The 22,086-nt window shown below is 39.8% G+C and overlaps 1 protein-coding gene across 2 annotated transcripts in view; it reads left to right on the forward strand.

Annotated features, from left to right (window-relative positions):
- Window positions 1-22,086, forward strand: part of ARHGEF33 (Rho guanine nucleotide exchange factor 33) — an 85,580-nt gene that overhangs the window by 23,100 nt on the left and 40,394 nt on the right. For both annotated transcript variants that reach the window (NM_001367623.3, NM_001145451.5), the window contains exons 3-7: window positions 6,389-6,498; window positions 8,400-8,449; window positions 15,933-16,097; window positions 16,735-16,856; window positions 18,135-18,277. In NM_001367623.3, the coding sequence (NP_001354552.1) occupies window positions 6,474-6,498; window positions 8,400-8,449; window positions 15,933-16,097; window positions 16,735-16,856; window positions 18,135-18,277 (505 nt within the window). In that variant the 5' untranslated portion in view covers window positions 6,389-6,473. The remainder of the gene's footprint in view (window positions 1-6,388; window positions 6,499-8,399; window positions 8,450-15,932; window positions 16,098-16,734; window positions 16,857-18,134; window positions 18,278-22,086) is intronic.

The following is a 22,086-nucleotide window of genomic DNA, read 5'->3' on the forward strand; positions in this document are numbered from 1 at the left end:
CATTCTGTCTCCACCATTCCTTATATAGCATATGGGAAAATGCTTATGCTCTGTCAACAAATTGTTTTTTTTTTTTTTTTGAGACAGGATCTTGCTCTGTCACTCAGGCTGGAGTGCAGTAGTGCAATCCTGTCTCACTGCAGCCTTGAACTACTGGGCTCAAATGATCCTTCCGCCACAGCCTCCCAAGTAGCTGAGACTACAGGCTTTGTCAACAAATTTGATGAACTTAAGGAAATACGTAGTTTCCTAGGAAAATACAAGTGACTAATTAAGTTGAAAAGCTGCGTAGATAAATTTCTTTTGAAGAAATTGAAAAGGCCTTGAAGATCTGACTACTTTTTTAAAAGATCAAATGGTTTCATAGCTCTGCTCTATTATCTTTTAAAGAACTGATAATTCCAATGTAATTGAAGTTTTTATAGGTTATAGAAAAAGATGAAAAACTTCCAATTCGTTATGGCTAACATAAGCTTAATGACAAAATAAAATAGAATAAAAAACAAAAACAATCTACCAGCTGGGCAAGGTGGCTCACGCCTGTAATCTCACCACTTTGGGAGGCCAAAGTGGGTGGGTCATTTGAGACCTGGAGTTTGAGACCAACCTGGCCAACATGGCAAAAACCCATCTATATTAAAAATACAAAAAATTAGCTGGGCGTGGTGGCGCACGCCTGTAATCCCAGCTATTCAGGAGGCCGAGGCACGAGAATCACTTAAACCCAGGAGGTGGAGGTTGCAGTGAACCGAGATCATGCCACTGCACTGGGGGACAGAGTAAGACTCTGTCTCAGAAAAAAAAAAAATAAAAAGAATATTTCAATAGCAAAAGTGACCACATAGTCAAAAGACAAAAAGATAAATGGGAAAAATATTGCATATAACAAATAAACAGTTAATACGTATTATTTAGAAGCTGTCACTCCTTGGTTAAAAAAAAAAGGCAGATAACCCAAAAGAAAATTAGGCAAATCAGAGGATTAGATAATTGACAGACGAGCAAATCTAAACTTATAGTAAGTATACGATATAGAGATGCTCAATAGCACCAGCAATCAGCAAAAGTAGCTATAAACTATCACTTGTCACCCATCTGACCAACAAGAACTAAAAATGTTAACATCCACTATTGGCTGGAATGCAGGAGAAAGGTATTCAGGCAATGAATATTCCTGGGGGAAATAAGAATAGTTATAGCCTTTTTGGAAAGCAGCCTAGCCACATCTATGGAAACTCCACATAAATAAAAACACCAACATGTAAGGCTCTATGTACCAAGATGTTTGTTGTGGCATTGTTTGCCATGGCAAAATAATGAAAATAAAGGGAATGTTCATCAGTGGAGAAATGATTAACACAGTTCATTTGTACCATGGAATATTATGCAGTCATTACAAGTAATTTCTTAGGGCCAAATGTGGTGGCTCACGCCTGTAATCCCAGTACTTTGGGAGGCTGAGCCAAGCGGATCACCTGAAGTCAGGAGTTCAAGACCAGCCTGGCCAACATGGTGAAACCCATCCCTACTAAAAATACAACAATTATCCAGGCGTGGTGGCACACACCTATAATCCCAGCTACTTGGGAGGCTAAGGCAGGAGAATAGTTTGAAACCGGGAGGCGGAGGTTGCAGTGAGCCTGGATCTCACCACTGTACTCCAGCCTGGGCAACAGTGAGACTCCATCTCAAAAAAAAAAAAAAAAAAAAGTAATTTCTTAGATCTATACCAATTAACTTGGAGAGATTGCCACAATGTATTATGTGAGAGTGAGATGCAGAGAAGTACAATATATAAACCTACAATAACAACCCCACTCCATATATGTATATTCTGTATATGATTGTGTGCAATTATATGAGGATGGAAAAAATACCAGAGATTATTAACATCAGTTGGGATTGGGGAGGAACACTTTTACCTCTGCTCAAACAGCCACAATAAAAACAGTATAAATAATAATGGTCCATTTTTTTTTTAATTTTTAAAAAGTTTTTCTTCATGTATTTTATCTGTACAACAATAATGATCCTATGTTTATTTTATTTTTTCCATTACAGAGATGGGATCTTAACTATGTTGCCTGGGGTGATCTTGAACTCCTGGCCTCAAGCAATCCTCCATCCTTGGCCACCCAAAGTGCTGGGATTACAGGCATGAGCCACTGCACCCAGCCATGGTCCAATTTTTAAAAGAAAGTAAAATGTTTATGCTATAATATAGGTGGGAAAGGTAGTTACAAAATTTTAGGTAGGCTTCATTAATAATTATGTAAAACATTCCAGAGAAAAAATATTAACAGGCAATACAAACAAGTGATCATGATAGTTGTTTAAGTAGAGGCGTTATAGTTGCTTTGTCCCCTGTAGAGTTTCCAAATTTTCTCTAACGTAGTTTTTTTATTGACTTTTTTTTTTTTTTTTTTTTGAGACAGAATTTCGCCCTGTCCCCCAGGCTGGAGTGCAGCGGCGTGATCTCGGCTCACTGCAATCTCTGCCTCCCGGGTTCAAGCAATTCTCCTGAGTAGCTGGGATTACAAGGCGTGTGCCACCAAACCTGGCTAATTTTTAAATTTTTAGTAGAGTGGGGTTTCACCATGTTGGCCAGGCTGGTCTTGAACTCCTGGCCTCAAGCTATCCACCTGCCTCGGCCTCCCAAAGTGCTGGGATTACAAGCATGAGCCACCATGCCTGGCCTCTAATGTAGTTTTGTTGCTTTTGTAATTTACTAAATAAAATTTCTAACTTACTATCCATCACACGTGTTTATTATGTCTCATGGTGGCTCATGCCTGTAATCCCAACATTTTGAGAGGACAAAGTGGAAGAATTGCTTGAGGCCAAGAGGTCAAGAACAGTCTGGGCAATATGGGGAGACCCTGTCTCTACAAAAAGTGAAAAGTTAGCCATGAGTGCTGGCACATGCCTATAGTCTGAGCTGCTTGGGAGGCTGAGGCAGGTGGGTCCCTTAAGCCTAAGAGTTCGAGGTTACATTGAGCTATGATCATGCCATTGCACTCCAGCCTGGGAAGAGCAAGACTCTGTCTCTACAAAAAATAAAATAAAAGAAAGTATTATGTCTTGAAATAAGTTGTCATATGTACATATGTGACCATATGAGCATGGGGATATTCTAGCTCAGAAAATGTGTAAGTTTTCATTTTACCTATGATATATGGATTTTGTTGTTGTTTTCAATTAGTTGTAGACTAACGACTAAATTTCCAGGAAAAATCACCCACAAAAATCCCATAAATATATGGCTTTGCATATTTAAAGATTTTCTTCCCCCAAATAGTAACAGAAATCACTTCTAAAGACCGTTTTTAAAGCCGGATGGCTTTGGGCAGGCCACTTCTCTTCCCCTCCTTAGGTCTCATGTGCTTCTTTTACAAATGAAGAACTTGGATAGAATAATTTTCTCAGAGTCTCTTTGGCTGTAACATTCTGTGATTTAATTATATTCATCCTAGAATGGATTAGATATCAAGTAAATTAACAATTGCTAAGGAGAAGAAAGTTTTCGTCTTAGTAATATTTGTATCAGCAATGAAAAAAGATTCAAGATAGTTAGGAAAGATGCCCTAGCTTGACATAACTTTCATGCTTACATGAAAAATGTGAAAGAGTTTAAACAGCATATGGCCTTGACTTTGGGCTTTTCTTTATATTCCTCATTTATAACCATGTAGCTATTTCCCAATGGCTTTTTACCTGTGTGTACCCTCCCACCCTGCCAACTTATTATTTTGCTTTATAAACCTCAGTATGTGAATAAAGGTCTTTTTCTTTTGGTTTGGACACACTCCATATTTTATAATAAAGTCTTTTTTTTTTTTTTTTGAGACAGAGTTTCATTCTTGTTGCCCAGGCAGGAGTACAATGGCACGAGCTCAGCTCACTGCAACCTCTGCCTCCCAGGTTCAAGTGATTCTCTTGCCTCAGCCTCCTGAGTAGCTGGGATTACAGGCATGCGCCACCACGCCCGATTAATTTTGTATTTTTAGTAGAGACAGGGTTTCTCCATGTTGGCCAGGCTGGTCTGGAACTCCTGACCTCAGGTGATCCACCCACCTTGGCCTTCCAAAGTGCTAGGATTACAGGTGTGAGCCACTGCAACCGGTCTTCTTTTTTTGAGACGGAGTCTCACTACGTCACCTAGGCTGGAGTGTAGTGGTGTGATCTCAGCTCACTGCAACCTCTGCGTCTCAGGTTAAAGTGATTTTCCTGCCTCAGCCTCCCGAGTAGCTGGGATTACAGGCACCTGCCACCATGCCTGGCTAATTTTTGTATTTTTAGTAAAGACGGGGTTTCACCATGTTGGCCAGGCTGATCTCGAACTCCTGACCTCAAGTGATCCGCCCACCTCAGCCTCCCAAAGTGCTGGGATTACAGGCATGAGCCACCGCATCGAGCCCATAATGAAGTCTTAAATCAACTTTCTTCAGGTATAATTTATGTAAGATAACCCAATTAAAATATACATTCAATGAGTTTTGGCAAATTTGTGCACCAATATACCACTAACACAATTAAGCAGTAGAACATTTCTATCCAAAAAAGTTTCCTGTGCGGCCAGGCATAGTGGCTCATGACTGTAATCTGAGCACTTTGAGAGACCGAGGAGGGGAGTCGCTTGAGCCCAGGAGTTTGTGACCAGCCTCAGTAACATAGTGAGACTCCTGTCTCTACAAAAATAAAAAAATTAGCCAGGCATAGTGGCATCCACCTGTAGTCCTAGCTACTCAGGAGGCTGAGATGGGAGGATCACTTGAGCCCAGGAGTTCAAGGCTCCAGTGAGCCATCATAAGGCCACTGCACTGCAGCCTGGGCAACAGAGCGAGACCTTGTCTCAAAAAAAAAAAAAAAAAAAGTTTCCTGTGCCTCTTCCCAGTTATCCCTCCACCTCCTGCTCTAGGTAACTGTTGATCTGCATTTTGTCACTATAGATTAGATTTGTCTATTCTAAGTGATGAACAAAGTTTAAACTTGCGTTTTCTTAATCTTGGATAGTGTTCATATATTTGTATTGTTTCAATCAGGTTTCTTAGTTGTAAGCAACAGCAAACAATCTCTGGCTGATTTAAGCAGGAGAGGAATTTGTTGAAAGGAGATGGACAGCTCATGGAATTGCTGGGAGGCTGGAGAATCGAGTTTGGGATTCTACGGCTAGCAGCAATGCCTAAATCACATAGTACAACTGTCCTAGTGAGGAAAGCACTGAAAGCAGAACCTTGAATTTCCTAATATATTTCTAACAGATAATGGTCACCACCACTACCCTCGCTGCCACTGCTGTCTTAGAAGGTAGAAAGAATATCAAGTATCTGCCTTAGGAATTCTTTTTGCAACTGCCAGTGTTAATTGGGGTAGGTGCATCTGAGTGATATGTCCCAGGTCATGTATCTATCATGCCTTAGCTGCAAGGGAGGCTAAAAGAACCTGGCGTTTTCAGCCTCTACAGTGGGAGGCATCTGATCAAGTCTCATAAGGCAGGGGAATTCTTCAAACTTAAGAAGGGGTTAAAATGCTGGATGGCTAAAAAGAGGGCCAGTATCCACAACACTGACTGTGTGTTAGGCTGCATTCTGACCTTGCAGCTTCATGTCTAATGGTCGTGTCAGACACAGCACATTTGCTAAGCATTTCCTGGGTGCAAAGGAGTCTACCAGATGCCGAAAGTGGGGACAAGGCTATCAAGGAACATACTATTTAATGGAATAGAAACAGATGTATTGGCCTTCATATCTGCTTAAGTTTTTTCTCCTTAAGATAATTTTCCTGGGGCTGGGTGTGGTGGCTCACACCTGTAATTCAGCACTTTGGGAGGCCGAGGTTGGAGGATCACTTGAGCCTAGAAGTTTGAGAACAACCTGGGCAACATAGGGAGACCCCATCTCTACAAAAAAAAAAAAAAAAAACAAATCCAGGTATGATGGCATAAGCCTGTGGTCCCAGCTATTTGGGAGGCTGAGGTGGGAGGACCACTTGAGCCCAGGAGGTCAAAGCGGCAGTGAGCCATGACTGCATCACTGCACTCTATCCCGGGTGACAGAACAAGACCCTGTTTGAAAAATAAATAAATAAAATAAAATTTCTTTAAAATATAACTTGCTAATCAAACCAATAGATCTTAATTAATGGATTTGATCCAAATAAGAATGTAGCATTTTGAAAAACTACCCTAAATTTGAATAATGAATTTCATATGTATTCACAAAATATTTACCTTTATGCTAAATGTGTACTTAATTTAATATTTTTCCTCTTCTGAAATTGCATGTACCTCAAGCTGTGTTCATTTCAATTTTTTTACTAATGTAAGAAGTAAATACAGTTTCTTTGACAGTTTTACTTGTTATCCCTTACTCTTGATTTGAATTGACAGGTGCAGGGAAGAGGAGGTGGCCTGAGCCAGGACGATGAGGATGCAATGTTGAAGAATAAGCTGGAGAAGAGAAGTAACCGGCACTATGGAAAAAACCAAAACAAAGCAAGGTCAGATTTTTCCTATGTCTTGCTTTAGGACTTAGGATTCAAGGAATGTAGGTTTTTGTCTTGTCTTACCACTGTCTCGAGACATGACAGTATGTTAACTATTTTCATTTCCCTATCATCATATAATGACTATGAAGAATATAGACTGGGTGCTGAAAAAATAGGAAATGCTATTAGAATTTGGTCTGTGTTGTTACTTTATTTTTCTTAGCAATAGCTTTAGGACTCCCTCAGAACAACATGCTGGGTAAGGCCAAGACACAGATTCAACTACTAGACATCTATCACCTTCTAGACTAGCCTAGAAGCATAAATGCTTTCTCTTTTAATCTTTACCATATAAAAACAACTATATAGAAGTAGATTCTCTTATCATCTCCAATTTACGGAAGAGGAAACAGTCATAGGGAAGTCAGGTGACAACTGCAAAGTATCAAAGTTAGGTCTGGGATCTGGATCTTTCCTCCCAAGCCCTGATTCTTGTTATTATACCAGGCTGTTGGGACATAGTATGAAATTGTCTAAATAATCTACTCAAGCTTATGCAGGAAGTTTGGGTAACCTCACATCATATGGATTTTATAGGGACAGTCTTCTGTGTGTATAAATTCTGGGCTAAGGTTATGTATTATTTATCGACTTAAATACTGAGGTTGGAGGGGTTTCCTGTACCAGCATGCCTTAGGAGAACAATATACACATCCACACAACCAAATGTTTGCAACCAGGGGCTTCCTCTATAAACTGTTTGATGCATACAGTGTGACACACTGGAGATGAAGCTAAATGGATAAGCAACGAGCTGAATGTTTTACATGGATTGCCTCATCTTTATGGCCAACCAATGTGGTGCTGAAAAGTACATTCCAGGCCAACCTCTTTTTCTCTCTAGGTTGTGAATGGTTTCTTTTCTTTTCTTTCTTTCCTTTTTTTTTTTTTTTTTTTTTTTTTTGAGACAGAGTTTCGCTCTTGTCGCCCAGGCTGGAACGCAATGGCACGATCTCAACTCACTGCAACCTCTGCCTCCCGGGTTCAAGCGATTCTCCTGCCTCAGCCTCCTGACTAGCTGGGATTACAGGTGCCTGCCACCACAGCCAGCTAATTTTTGTGTTTTTAGTAGAGACAGGGTTTCACCATGTTGGCCAAGCTGGTCTTGAACTCCTAACCTCAGGTGATCCTCCCGCCTTGGCCTCCCAAAGTGCTGGGATTAGAGGTGTGAGCCACCACACCTGGCCTGTGAATGGTTTTCTACAACCTACCACTTCCTCTGCGTGTGCCCTGTGTTTCTCGAAGTCTAGTATTATACATTACTGTTTTCTTCTGCCTGCATCCTTCCCAGAACCTTTCCGTTGACAATTCCTTTTATCAGCCCTGTTGCCCAGGAGGACAGCAAGATTCCCTTAGCTGAATTTGGCAGTGACAGCAGGGCAGAGTTCAGAAGTCTGTCAAAGATCAGAGGTGGGAGAAGTAGAGGATATTTTATGCAAGCTCGCTGAGGTCACTAAGTGCCTGGTGAAGAGCCGCCTTCCTGACTGTAGAACTGTCCCTGCAGGTCAATTCCAGTTAGCCTCAAGAACATAAGGGAGACACTTCCTGCAAATTCCTTTGTGGCTATTTAATAATCACACATCATTCAGTTTGGTTGAGAAACTTCCCTACTGTAGTAGAACGTGGTTTTCTATTGCAAGAGTATATCAGGTAGATAATGGTTTAGTGATTAGGATGTGTGAATATGGACACCACCTACTTCAGCTCATTTTTTGTTCCCCTGGAATCATTGGTTTCTTGTCGTGCGGGCACAAATGTAGGATCCTGTAAGTTCCCTTATTCCCTGCATGTATCTGGAGGGGATAGGGACAGAATGAGTAGTGTTGATTAAACAAAGCTCTTTCTCCCTGCAGGAGAGAATGAACATATGCCGGTGAATAATCCTTCCACGCAGATTTACCAGGTAAAGACAAATCGATTGTTTCAAATGCTCCCATGTATAATAGCAATGACTGACTATTCTTTATGTGTACACGTTTTTAGCACTCACAAGTGCTTCCACATATATCGTTGCACTTGTTCTCTTAACAGGGCTGTGAGACAGGCACCTCAGTGGGTCCCGCCACTCACAGTGTACTTTGGAGAGAACTGATTTTTTTTTGAGACAGGGTCTTGCTGTGTTGCCCACTCTGGTCTTTAACTCCTGGGCTCAAGCTCAGCTTCCTGAGTAGCTGAGGCTATAGGTGAGCACCACTGTGCCTGGCTGAGAACTCATTATTGAAAGACAAGTTATCTCATTTATAAAGTGCAGCACTACCACGCCCACCTCAACTCTGCTTCTCTTGCCTGCTGCCCCCATCGCCATGGCCATTACACTGCAAGATAACATTTCCATCAGAGAGGAGAGGGCAAAATCTGTTTTTCTTACTTTTCTATTTTAGCAGGGAGAATTGAGAATGAAAAGGGGGGTAACATTGCAAATGTTCAAATATCTGTACAGGAAAAACTTTCAAGCTCTTTTTAAACAATGGAAACAATTTGCTTTACAAGGAAGATAAAAGTTCTGCAAAACATCTTTGCAGTAAGAGTCGTATGAGATTGTTTTGGTCCTCTAAGTGGTATTTACTTGGCTTCTGTCTCCCAACTGTAAATTTAAAGCACATCTCTGTTCTTAAAAATCATGGAACTTTATTCTGACATAATTTGTAATATAAAAGCAGCTTGGGCTAGGGAAATCCATGCTTCTCTCCAGACTTCAGGCAGTGCTGTCTGAAATACGTGAAAAGGAAGAAAACATTGACAGAGCTTGGTGGGGGTTGGGAGAAAGGATGCTTTCAAAGTTGATCTAAGGTTTTAAGCCCTGGTAACTAGGAAAAAGAGTGCTCTCACAAGCAGAAATACAGGAGTCCAGAAGGGTAGATAGTTTAGGGGAAACGTTATTTAGATTTGTCGAGTTTAAGTGACAGTAAAGTGAAAATGACAACTACTTCCCAGAATTATCATGTAAGAGACCATTGCTATAAACCAAACTAGGGCAAGTCAACACAGGATTACGAAAACATTATTTAACCATATTGTCCCTAGACTCAGGCCAGCTATAGGATGAAAGGGGGAAAGGGCCTCATTTCAACTGAATACACATTTATTGAGCAGTTACTATGTGTAAAGTCTACTGCTTGGCCTCATGGCAGATTAAACAGATGAAACAGACATTCTCATTGATTTTTATGTGTCCACAGCCTGAAAAACACATAGAATAATAGCTCTTACAAGGTAGGCTGTTGAAAGGATTGCGATAGAGGCATTGATACAATTCTGTGGGGAAGGGATGAATTAGTATTGACTGGAGGATTTGAGCTAGGTACTTAAGGACAAGTTGATCATTTGACAAGTAGGTATAGGTAAGGTTGTTGTGGGCAGGGGGACTAGCTTGAACAAAGGCCTAGAAGCAAAAAACTGGTCTTCACTCAGTGCTGCTTTGATGCTTCACTGGTCCAAGTCCTCCAGACGCTTTCCCTGCCCACTTCCCCTCTGTTCTCATCTGACCTGTGTATAACATTTGAATGAGTATGAGTACCTCTTTAAAGTCAGGTATGATTTAAAGTCTATTATAGATTTTATGTAGGTCACTCCCTGAATGTTGGCTAAATATAGCTGCAGTGGGGGTGGCCTCATTATCTTATTGCACTACAAATCCTAGTACATCTGTTCGCAGTGGAACACACAAAGCAATGGAAGTGAAGTTGGTCTATATGACCTCTGTGATGCTATTATAACCCCATCCTTGTTTTAAAAGAACACTTCCTAAGCCCCAGTCTGTTTACTCCAAGCAACATTTAACCAAAAGAAGAAGAAGAAAGAGGAGAAGTGAAGAAAGAAGAAGAGAAAGAGAAAGGAGGGAAGCTGGGGAGGAGTTAACCATAATAGAATAAAATCTATACTAGAAGGGAGGGCACCAGAAGCAAAATATAATATTTTGGTAATTCTCTATCTCATTTTATTTTCTGGATAGATCTTATCCCATCTGACATTATCGTATGTATCACCTTGTTTGTTTTTTAATTTTCTGTCTCCTCATCTAGAATGTAAGCTCTAAGGGCAGGAATTTAGTCCATTTTCCTCTCTGTTGTATTCTCAGTGTAAAGTACAATGCCTGGCATATAATACATATTCAATAAATATGAGTTGAATGAATGAATGGATGACTATATTACAAGATGTCTATATTGCTTTGAGCCAAGAGGTCTCATGCAGTCATTCAGTCTTGTGCCAAACAGTGTTGGAAAGATTTTGTCTGGTTCTTTGGAAAAAGAGAAGAGATCCTCACTTCATACCCTAATCAAAACAAATGCCAAAGTGGATTAAAGGTTTACATATAAAAAAATTCAAACCATAAAATTTTAAAATAAGTGAATATTTATTTTGTCTCCAAATGTGAAATGTCTTTCTAAGTTAAAAAGCACTGGAAGAAATCACAAAGAAAGAGATTTGAGAGTTCATCCACATTACAATTTAAACTATTTCCATCATGAAAATATTTTAAACAAATTCAGAGGCAAATAACAAAATCAGAAAGACACAACAAATATTTCAAAGGTTTAATTATAAATAAGTAGTTCATGAAGGTCAATAAAAATGGAAACTTCTAAAACCCTAGTAGAAAATTAGCAAAGAACACAGACAATTTACCAAAGTAAAATTATAGATAGCTAAGAAAAAGTTGAAGCTCAAAGAAGCAATGATTAAAATAAGGAGTATTATACTTTGACTAATTAGCAAATAATAATTAATAATATTTAGTTCTGGTGAATGTGTGTAATTGTTAGAAACTTTTAGAAAAGTCTATTCCCTATTTCCTTTTTCTCTTATCCTTTGTCCACTGCACATACCCCTCTCAAAGTCGTTGAATCAGAGCTCTTTTCCCGAGTCAGGTGGTCTTGTTTCACCCTAGATTACTTCATTTTGCATATAGATTATTAAAATTATGATCCCATTAACATGAGAGGGGATCCCATAATTAAGGCAACAGATGTGGTAACTGCACAATTTAGTGCTAGCCCAACACTCATACTAATGATTTCAACTCCAACTGTGTTTTAAGCTCACTTGTAGCCTTAGGAATGTAAACAGTGTGGCTTCTTGTATTTCTATTGTTTTATGTATTTTATTATTCAAGTTATGTTTTTCTAAATCCATGAATTTAGGACATTACATATCATATGTAATGTTTGCAAGAATATACAGCCATATTGCTATAACTTTTCAAATCCTCTGGTCAAATATAATTTGTATAGTTACTAATTAGTTGAATATATTGCCTCTGTGACATAGTAGCTTCCCCTTTGGGTCATCTTTGACCCACAGGCATTTCATATTAAGGAATTTATTCTAAGGAAATAATCTGAAATATATACAAAATTTTAAAACAAAAACATAGTATGACAGCATTAGTTACAACATTGAAAAATTACAAGCAACATAAATTTCCAACAAAAGAGAATGGGTAGGTAAACTCTGGCAAATTCATAGGATGGGATATCATGTAGCCATCAAAAGTAGACATTTAGAAAAATTTTGAAGGCTACTGTAAATGCCTTATTAGAATATTAGGAGGGAAAAAAGAGAGGTAGAATCAAAATGTATCTGCAGTGTGATTTCAAGCATATAAACATCTGCATTTATATGCATAGAACAAAATAGAAGGAAATGTGAGTGTTAATGGTTATACTGAAATAATGAAATTTGGAATGATTCTATTTGGCGATTCTCTTTTTTCTTCATTTTTCTCTGTAATGAAAATAATTTAAGAAAATAAATGATGTGCCAAAAGTGTCTAATTGAAACACTATGGGAACCAGTCCTACAGTAATAGGTTTCATCGTCAAAACTGCCATTGAAAGTTTTCTAGGATTTGTAAATCCTGATTGAGACTAAGTCTCTTTTTGCCATTGAGGAATGTTCTTCTGATACTAGAGAAGTTAACTCTTCTAGGCCTGTGGTGTATCCAGGGATCGATAAGCACACCAGGCTGCATGTCAGTCTCAGTAAGGCCCTGCAAGAATGATTTGAAGGGTCAGCTTCTGCAGGGAATATAGAGGAGTAGATATGGGAAGTTTACTCTCTACATTCAGATTACTTGCTGCTCACTTTGTATTTTAAATAATTGGAAGATGGAAGTTGGCAGAAAACTCGTGTTGCTTCTTCAGTGACCCTGGTTTAGGGGGAAACCAAAGCAATTACCTTCGCCTCCTTGCCATCATGTATGTGCCACTGCAAAACACCTGGCTTTTGCTTTTATAGAATCATAGGAATTGGGAGGTTTCCCAAACCTTGACATTTATGACTTTGCAAGGTTCCCAAGGTACAGGTCCAGTCCCCCTAATTTACTTCTTGGTAGCCTCCTGGCCTGGGTAATGTGGCAAAAAGGAAGAAATGTCCATAAAACACAAGTTGAAATTTGTGAAAATTAAGTATGAGGCCTGAGGGATCTTTCATGAAAAAAAAAATTGGAAGACACTGACTAAAATTCATCTTAAGAAGAGTTAAGAAGCCAAGAAAAGAAAGAAAATTGAGAATCAGAAATTGAGAGCAGGAAATAGGAAGAATTCGGACTCCTCTCCCCTATTTCTTTGAGCCTAAGATGCCCTCTGTGGTACCGTAGGCTTCGAAGTACAAGTCTTCCCTGAACCTACCTCCAGTGGGAGCCCGCCTCCAGCGGCAGGATGGAGGGATCATAACCTCTCTAGAGCAGCTTCATGAAAAAATCAACGAGATGAGGAACGTGTTCAACTCGCTGGAGAACAAGGTAGACACCCATTTCTAATCCTTGGGGTGGGCTGTGGGCTCTCAAAAAAGAAAGCTGAAGAGAGAGCAGAAAAAAGATGTTAAGATCGTGTCTTCACAGTATTCATAGTTTACAAGGGAGTGGTCAGGGTCGGTAGTTGAAAACCGCTCTGTAGGGGCTAAAGATACTAAGATCCCTCAGCATCTTAAAAGTGACATGTTGTATCAGGTGTGTGTTCTCCTGATGGCTTCCCCTCCCGGGCTGGTCAGGGCTGTGAAGCTGTTTACAAAGCAGTAGCAACGCTTCAGTGGCAGGCACCCATGGAGCTCAGAGTAATATGTTGGTAGGAAATGGGCACATGACTCAAAAATAGCCTCAGAATTCCCAGAGTTCCTATGTCACCTGGCTGTTAGGGGAAAATTTTAATAATTTTTTGAGAGCTGGGGTTCTGCAGGGAGGAAGGTCCTTTTCCTAGGAGTCTGCTGCTGCCTTTTGGTCTCTGCAGAAAACTCTGCCTAAGGGAGCAAGGATAATGAAACCTATTTCTGTTGGATAGTGGTTCCCTTTTTATTTTTTTTTCCAAGCAGGAAACCTAAGTGAATGTCACTAAGAAGAATGTCAGCTTTCCTTCTTCCAATTTTAAAACTCGCATACATTTTTGATTTAATGTTATATAGCCATCAATTTTGTTTATTTTGCTCACAGAAGATACATTTACATAATGAAAAATTACCAGATCAGAAAGTGGTTGATCTGGTGATTTAATCCACCAGGATGACTGAATTAGGACATGAGCCAAAATCCATTGCAAAGATTAATTATAATTAAAACTGATTGAAATGAAAAATAGATTGCTTATGATGTTTCCCAGCCTTCTAGCCCCAAATACTTGACAGGCCCTGCTTTTTTCCTCAAAATGATCTCTCTGATTCCTCTTATTGCTCTCTATTCCCAGCAATCCTTCGTAAAGCACAATGAACCACAAAATCCTATATTTTAAAAATGTGATATAGGAGACAAAGTCACTGTATAGTGAGTGGGAGGTGCCATTGCAGGTGGGAATCATGTGCATGACCTTATTCTGAAAATGTTCAGAAATACACATTCAAAGAAACTTTGTTAAGGTATCTGGACTTTAGTTTTCATTCCTTTAAAGTAAAAATACTTGAGGCCGGGCACAGTGGCTCACGCCTGTAATCCCAGCACTTTGGGAGGCCAAGAAGGGTGGATCACCTGAGTTCAGGAGATCAAGACCAGCCTGACCAATATGGTGAAACTCCGTCTCTACTAAAAATACAAAAATTAGCTGGATGTGGTGGCGCATGCCTGTAATCCCAGCTACTTGGGAGGCTGAGGCAGGAGAATCACTTGAACCCAGAAGGTAGAGGTTGCAGTGAGCCAAGATCATGCCACTGCACTCCAGCCTGGGCGACAGAGCAAGACCCTGTCTCAAAACAAGACAAAACAACAACAACAACAAAAACTTGATTATAGGATAAATCTTCTAAATGGTTCTGTTTTAAAGAGACATGTGGAGCTAAGAGTTCCTCCACTTGATAGAGTGTAAGATCATAAATGTCAAGAAAGTAATGTTATTATCCTGTTGTTACTATTAACTTACTGTCTGTTGAAAATGCTTTTTTCATTTGTTCAATAAATACAACGAACTTTAGAAGTGCTCCATTTTCTCCACATTTCTGTTTGTGCTTAACTTTTTGATTTACCACCTAAAGGGGGAGAAGAATGAACGTTTCTTGAACATCTGTGTACCAAGTATGCGCTATGGTAGGCAGCTTACCTACATTTACTCAGTTAATTCTCAAGGCAGCCCTGTGAAATAGATATTATTATAGCTATTTTATGGATGAGGAAACTGCTACAAAAAAGTTAACCAACATGCCTAAGGTCCTAGTACTTTAGGGTAGAACTAGGATTTGTACCCTACCTGATCCAAAACACCTCTTTCATGATGTCAAAGTTGACCTGCATGACCAGGACTGACTGCTGGAGATGATTCATATCACCATCAACAATATTCTGAGCTCCTACCATACCCTACCAGATATTTCTTTGCCTTCCTTATGAGTTAAAGCCCACCGTCATTGAAAATACTGTTACCTCCTTTCCCATGATATCATCCAAGAGTATTTTTTTTAAAAAAAACCTTCTTTCCTTTCAGATAAATTCTCAGTTATGCTTAGTTGTTACTCTATTTATTCTTTAATTTCTTAAGAAAACAAGAACTGAGTTTCCTTGCCTCTCATAATAACCAGAGAGAATATGACCCATTTTCTTCTTTCACAGAATTCAAAGAGTTATTGGATCAAGATTCACATACATGTTTCTTTTCAAGCAAATCTCATTTTAATCAAAGGTGTTAGAATAAATCGAAGCTTGCAGAAGCACTTGTAAACTTAATTAACAGCTTGCTTTCTTGTCATTTATCAAGCTTCAGCATATGCTATATATAAAGAAGACACTCTTTTTCTTAGATAAATGGGGCCAGGGTTGTCTTAAGTTGTCCAAAGTGAAGTACACTAGTAAATGAGGTCTGTAGATTTTCAGGAGGCTTGTTTCTCAAACAAAAGAAAAATTCAAGGTCCAATGGTGCCACTTACAGTAATTTCCAGCAAATTGAATTAACTTTTCATGCATTATTTAGTTGCAGGCCCTAGCCTCCGAACTCAAAACTGGTTTCACAGAAGCAATGCAAGAACTGTCAAGAATTCAACATGGAGAATATGCTTTGGAAGAAAAGGTTAAGAGCTGCAGATGTTCCATGGAAGAAAAAGTTACTGAGATGAAGAATTCATTAAACTATTTCAAGGTAGGCCTCTCTTTAATTTCCCTGCTGACAAGAGAATTTTGGTCTCAGTAACAGCAATAGAAAACTTGCCTTTTTCTGGCTGGGCGTGGTGGCTCACGCCTGTAATCCCAGCACTTTGGGAGGCCGAGGCAGGTAGATCACAAGGTCAGGAGTTCAAGACCACCCTGGCCAATATGGTGAAACCCCGTCTCTACTAAAAATATAAAAATTAGCCGGGTGTGGTGGCAGGCGCCTGTAGTCCCAGCTACTCGGGAGACTGAGGCAGGAGAATCGCTTGAGCCAGGAAGTGGAGGTTGTAGTGTGCTGAGATCACGCCACTGCACTCCAGCCTGGGCGACAGAGCAAGACTCTGTCTTAAAAAAAAAAAAGAAAGAAAACTGCGTTTTTCCATAGCAGCCAAATATAAGAATTTTTCCTCTGGGCCATCCATAGTTATCATGGAAAAATATCTTTCATGTTTTCTTTTTTGGAGCTCTGTGTTAAAATTTGAGGCCACGATGGAAGTAAATTTTTTAATCTCTCATTCATTCATTCATTCATTCAATAAATATGTATTAAAAGTGTACAGTGTGCTAGATTATGTTATATACTTTTACCCCATGTACCACGTTAAAACATAGCAATTCTTATTTTTTAGGAAGAGCTGAGCAATGCCATGTCGATGATCCAAGCCATCACTTCCAAACAAGAAGAAATGCAACAGAAAATCGAGCAGCTTCAACAGGAGAAGCGAAGAGAATCTCGAAAAGTTAAAGCCAAGTGAGTGTCTTTTAAAAATGTACCAAAGGCAAACCCATAAGCAATGGCTTCTGCAGAGGCACCTGGTACACATTCCCCACTATCAGTGTATAGCTAGCTGGCCACTGTGCTCCACAGCTTGGCATGCGATGGAGGTTATAGAATTATAAAATTGGTTAATACCAAAGATGGATGGTACCTATTACATAGAAAAATCCATTTAATACGATATGTAAAATGAAAGTGACATAAAATGGCATGAATGCTTTGATTACAAGTGTAAAAATATGTAAAATAACAACTAGAAAGATTTACTTAAAAATAATGATAGTTGTGTTAAGATAGTGGCACCATCAGTGATTTTCTTTTTTTATTAACTTTCTAAAATGTCTCTAATGCGATTATTATTTTAATTCTAGGGTTGAAAATAAATTTATGTTAAACGATGTCTGGACTAGGTTGAATCAAGTAAAGTTTCACCATTAAACATATATAATCTTTATTGCTACTTATTTGGTTTTCTTTTTCCTTTTTTCTTTCTTTTCTTTTTTTTTTTTGGAGACAGAATCTTACCCTGTTGCCCACGCTGGAGTAGTGGTATGATCACAGCTCACTGCAGCCTTGAACTCCTGGGCTCAAATGATTCTCCCACCTCAGTCTCCTGAGTAGCTGGGACTATAGGTGTGGCCATCACGCTAGCTAATTTAAAAAAAAATTATAGAAATGGGTTTCCTTATGTTTTCCCAGGCTGGTCTTGAACTCCTGGGCTCAAGTGATCCTCCCACCTTGGCCTCCCAAAGTGGTGGGATTACAGGCATGAGCCACAGTGCTCAACTTACTTATGTGTTTTTAATATTACCAAATTGAAAATAGAAATGTAGGAATAATATGTGTGTGACCCTGGAGAACAGGTTGTTTTCAGGAGAGGACCTGCTGCTTCCTGATACTTTTGAGTTGCATTGCTAAGCGAATATAAATCATTTCAAGCAAATTGTCACCACTGCAAACTCTAAAGATCCCGATGATAAGGAAGCCAGCAACAAAAAAATAAGAATGTGGATGTTATAATTAGAAGGGTGATTTGTAAATATTTGAAGTTTTTTCTCCAGCTGAGGTAATGAATTAAGTTGAACCATATGAATTGCTAGTATTTGACCACTTTTAATTTTCAAAAATAGCAATTTATATAGTTCAACCTAATAATTCAGACATTTTCTTGAGTTGTTCTGAACTGAATCTCCTCATAACCTATCAGATATTAAGAACCAGAATAGCCTTGTCTTTGTTTCTCTTTCCTAGGAAAACTCAAAAAGAAGAGCACAGCTCACAGGCCGGGCCTGCCCAAGCACAAGGAAGTCCTTTTCGTTCTATCAATATCCCTGAGCCTGTTCTTCCAAGCGAAGACTTTACCAACCTTTTGCCTTCTCAGGCCTACGAGAAAGGTACAGTTCACAAATCATACTGAATTAATCAAGTATTTTTTTCCCAATTCCCCCAATTAAGAATGGGCTTAAACCCTCCATCTTTGTTAGAAGAAAATGGTGTATTGCCTAGAATTTTTCTGCTTGTAACTGGAATTCAGAAGAATCCAGAGGATCTAAGAGACCACAAGAGTGCCCAGTTTTAAATATTTTTTTTTTGGTGTGTGGTCGGGGGAATACTAATCTGGATACTTCTAAATTTCAATTGAATTAAAAATAATTTATTGTACAATCATTACTATGCTAACCCATAAGACAGAAATGTTAGAAAAAAATCACTTACTCTAACAAGTCATTTTATTGGCAGTCTAACTCAGCACCTGTCTTTCTCTGGAAAACCAGAGCTGATGCTGCCTGTGGGCTGAAACAGTTACCAATCTCATTCCTGACCTTAGGGATGTTAGAACAGATATTAAAAAATGGTACCGAAGAAACTGGCTTTCCAGTGGAAGTCAGAGTTTTGGTTATTAACTTACATTCAACTCAGGAAAAGTAAAAACAAAAAAAATTTGCCATGTCTTTGTATCCTCAACCATGTCTAGCAAAGCACCTATACACAGAAAAATAAATGTAGATATTAACGTTGTTTAGATGACATTTCCTCTTATTTATGGTCTCACGTAGAAAGTCCTCAAAAGAAAGACTCAATGATTTCTCAACTGTCAGTGTGTCAAAGACAGGGTTGGTGGTTTTCTATGCTTAAGATGAATGGAACAATTAGGTTTATATACTCATAGACAATGTGTATTCTGAATAACTGAATCTAAAAATCTAAATCAAGTGGCTTTTAACTGGCATACTTCAAAGTACAGATTTGCCTTTTTAATATTTTTTATTATCATTTTTTTTTGAGACAGAGTCTCGCTCTGTCACCCAGGCTGGAGTGCAGTGGCACGATCTCGGCTCACTGCAACTTCTGCCTCCCGGGTTCAAGTGATTCTCCCACCTTTGCCTCTGCCTCCCAAGCAGCTGGGTCTACAGGCGTCACCATGCACGGCTAATTTTTTGTATTTTTAGTAGAGACAGGGGTTTCACCATGTTGGCCAGGCTCATCTTGAATTCCTGATTTCAAGTGATCCACCCGCCTTGACCTCCCAAAGTGCTGGGATTACAGGCGTGAGCCACCGTGCCCGGCTTGCCTTTTTATTTTTATTTTTTTTTTACCTATTTGCGTAATTCATTGAGAGACTGATAGGTGCAGCCTGGGAAAACTCACTTGGTCCATCTGGGGACCGGGTTCATTGCAGGTGGCTCTATTTTCTTTCCTCTAAGACATGAACAGCTCTACATAAAAGGATGATCCTCTCTGGGAAAGAGTATAGTATAGGATAGGCTTAGAATGTAAAAGTCAGTTCAATGGCAGGTCTGGAGCAGCTAAACATGTTCATAAGATAAAAGGTTAAAAATTATCTTTACAAAGTAAATTTGTGCATGTTTAGACAATGTGTAACAGCCCCCAGGGACTTAAATAATCACAGAATGTGTGGACTCCACTGAAAACAGCTGATCCAGATGATTTCAGTGCCTACATGGATTTCAATGAACTATTTAGTGGCAATTCCTCCTTCCTTTCCTCCTGTATAGACGTGGTCATAGTTTATTCTACTGAGTTGCTGCAGAAATTTAAGAATAATGTGCCATGATAAGACATTCTGCACATACTTGGTGGCAGCTTGTGTTAAAACTCAGGGCTCAAGAACCAAACACTCAGAAAGTCTTGGCTTATCCACTGTTGATAAAATGGTACAACTGTTATCTATTGTCCCAAAATTCAGTAGCTTAAAATAGCAAACATTCATGGTTCACAGTTTCTCTGAGTCAGAAATCTGTGCACAGCTTAGGTGAGTGCCTCTGGCTCAAGGTCTCTCATTAAGGCTGTAATCAAGGTGCTGGCCATGGCTGTCATCTCAGGTGAAGGCTCTACTCATGGGGCATCTATACCAAGCTTATCACCTGGTTATTGGCAGGCTCCAGTTCTTGTAACCTGGGCCTCTCCAAGTTGCTGCCTTACAATTTGGCAGCTAGCTTCTCCCAGGGCAAGTTATCTAAAAGAACGCTCAATACAGAAGCCACAGTGGGTTTTTTTGTTTTGTTTTTTTTTTCTTTTTTTGAAACAGAGTTTTGCTCTTGCCGCCCAGGCTGGAGTACAATGGCGCGATCTCGGCTCACTGCAACCTCCACCTCCTGGGTTCAAGCAGTTCTCCAGCCTCAGCATCCTGAGTAGCTGGAATTACAGGCACCCGCCACCATGCCTTGCTAATTTTTGTATTTTTAGTAGAGACACGGTTTTGCCATGTCTCTGGTCTCAAACTCCTGACCTCAAGTGATCTGTCCACCTTGGCCTCCCTTGCTGGGATTACAGGTGTGAGGCACCACGACCGACCCATAGTCTTTTTATAACCTAATCTTAGAAATGGTATTCCATTTTTTCTGTCATATTCTATTCATTAGAGACTAATCAGTAAATCCAGCCTTTACCTAAGGGAAAGGATTACATAAGGACGTAAATGCTAAGGGGTGGGGATAATTGGAGCCATCTGGAGCTGCTTACCACAAATGGCTGATGGCCCCATCTGAGAAGGCAGCCAATTTATGTGAGCCATGATGCAACATCATTTATGTGCCTGATAATTGTAGAACTTGTCAGTTTGAAAATGTCATTTTACAGGCCCAAGTATACCTTACCTTTAGGTTCCTTTCCCCACTCAAGAAACTCTCAAGATGTTTAGCCTCCCTACTCCTGACATATTCTTGCTTGAGAAAATTGAAAACTAATTTTTTTGAAAGATGTGGTTTTATTATCCGTCTCTTCTTTCTTACTTTGTATTTATTCTACCCACTCAATATTGGCTTTCATCCTTACCACTCCTGATAGTTTTTGGTACCCTTGATACCCACCTTCTTGAAACATTCTCTTCTTTTGGCTGACACTGTGCTTCTTTGATTTTACACCTACTTTCTGGATGCTCCTTCTTAGATTCTCTTTGATTCCTCATCACCCTCAGAATAAAGTCCAAGTTCCTTAACACAGTTTACATGGCCGTGTTTTAACTTGCCTCTGCTTTTCTCTTCAGACTTATATTTTGTTACCCTCGACTTCTCCCTCTGCATTCAAGCCACCCTGACATTTTCCCTCCCTCCATCCCTCCCCCTTCTATCCCTCCCTCCCCCTTTTCTCTCTTCCTCCCGCTTCTCTCCCTCCCTCCATCCCTCCCCCTTCTCTCCCTCCCTCCCCCTTCTCTCCCTCCCTCCCCCTTTTCTCCCTTCCTCCCGCTTCTCTCCCTCCCTCCCCCCTCTCTCCCGCTTCTCTCCCTCCCTCCCCCCTCTCTCCCGCTTCTCTCCCTCCCTCCCCCCTCTCTCCCGCTTCTCTCCCTCCCTCCCCCCTCTCTCCCTCCCTCCATCTCAGGCACTGTTTTAGGTGGTAAGATATAGGAATGAACAAAACAACAAAAATTCCAGCCTTCATGGAGACTTTCCTCTGAGGCAAGCAGACAATAAACAAGATAAGTAAGATATGTAGTATGTTAGAGAGTGATGAGTTAAGGAAAAAAATAAGTAAAGAGGAATTGTAATTTTAAATAGAGTGCCAGGCAAAGACCTGAAGGAAGTGAGAAAGTTCGCTTATGGGTACTGAGGGGAAGAAACGGAGCAGCCAGTGTCAGGGTCCCGTGAGAATATGACTGACGTGTTCAAGGAATACCAAGAAGACCAACGGGGGTAAAGCAGAGTGAATCAGGGAGAAAACAGTAGGTGCAGTTAAAAAAAAAAAA

Source organism: Homo sapiens, chromosome 2, assembly GCF_000001405.40.
Source record: "Homo sapiens chromosome 2, GRCh38.p14 Primary Assembly".
Lineage (NCBI taxonomy): Eukaryota > Metazoa > Chordata > Mammalia > Primates > Hominidae > Homo > Homo sapiens.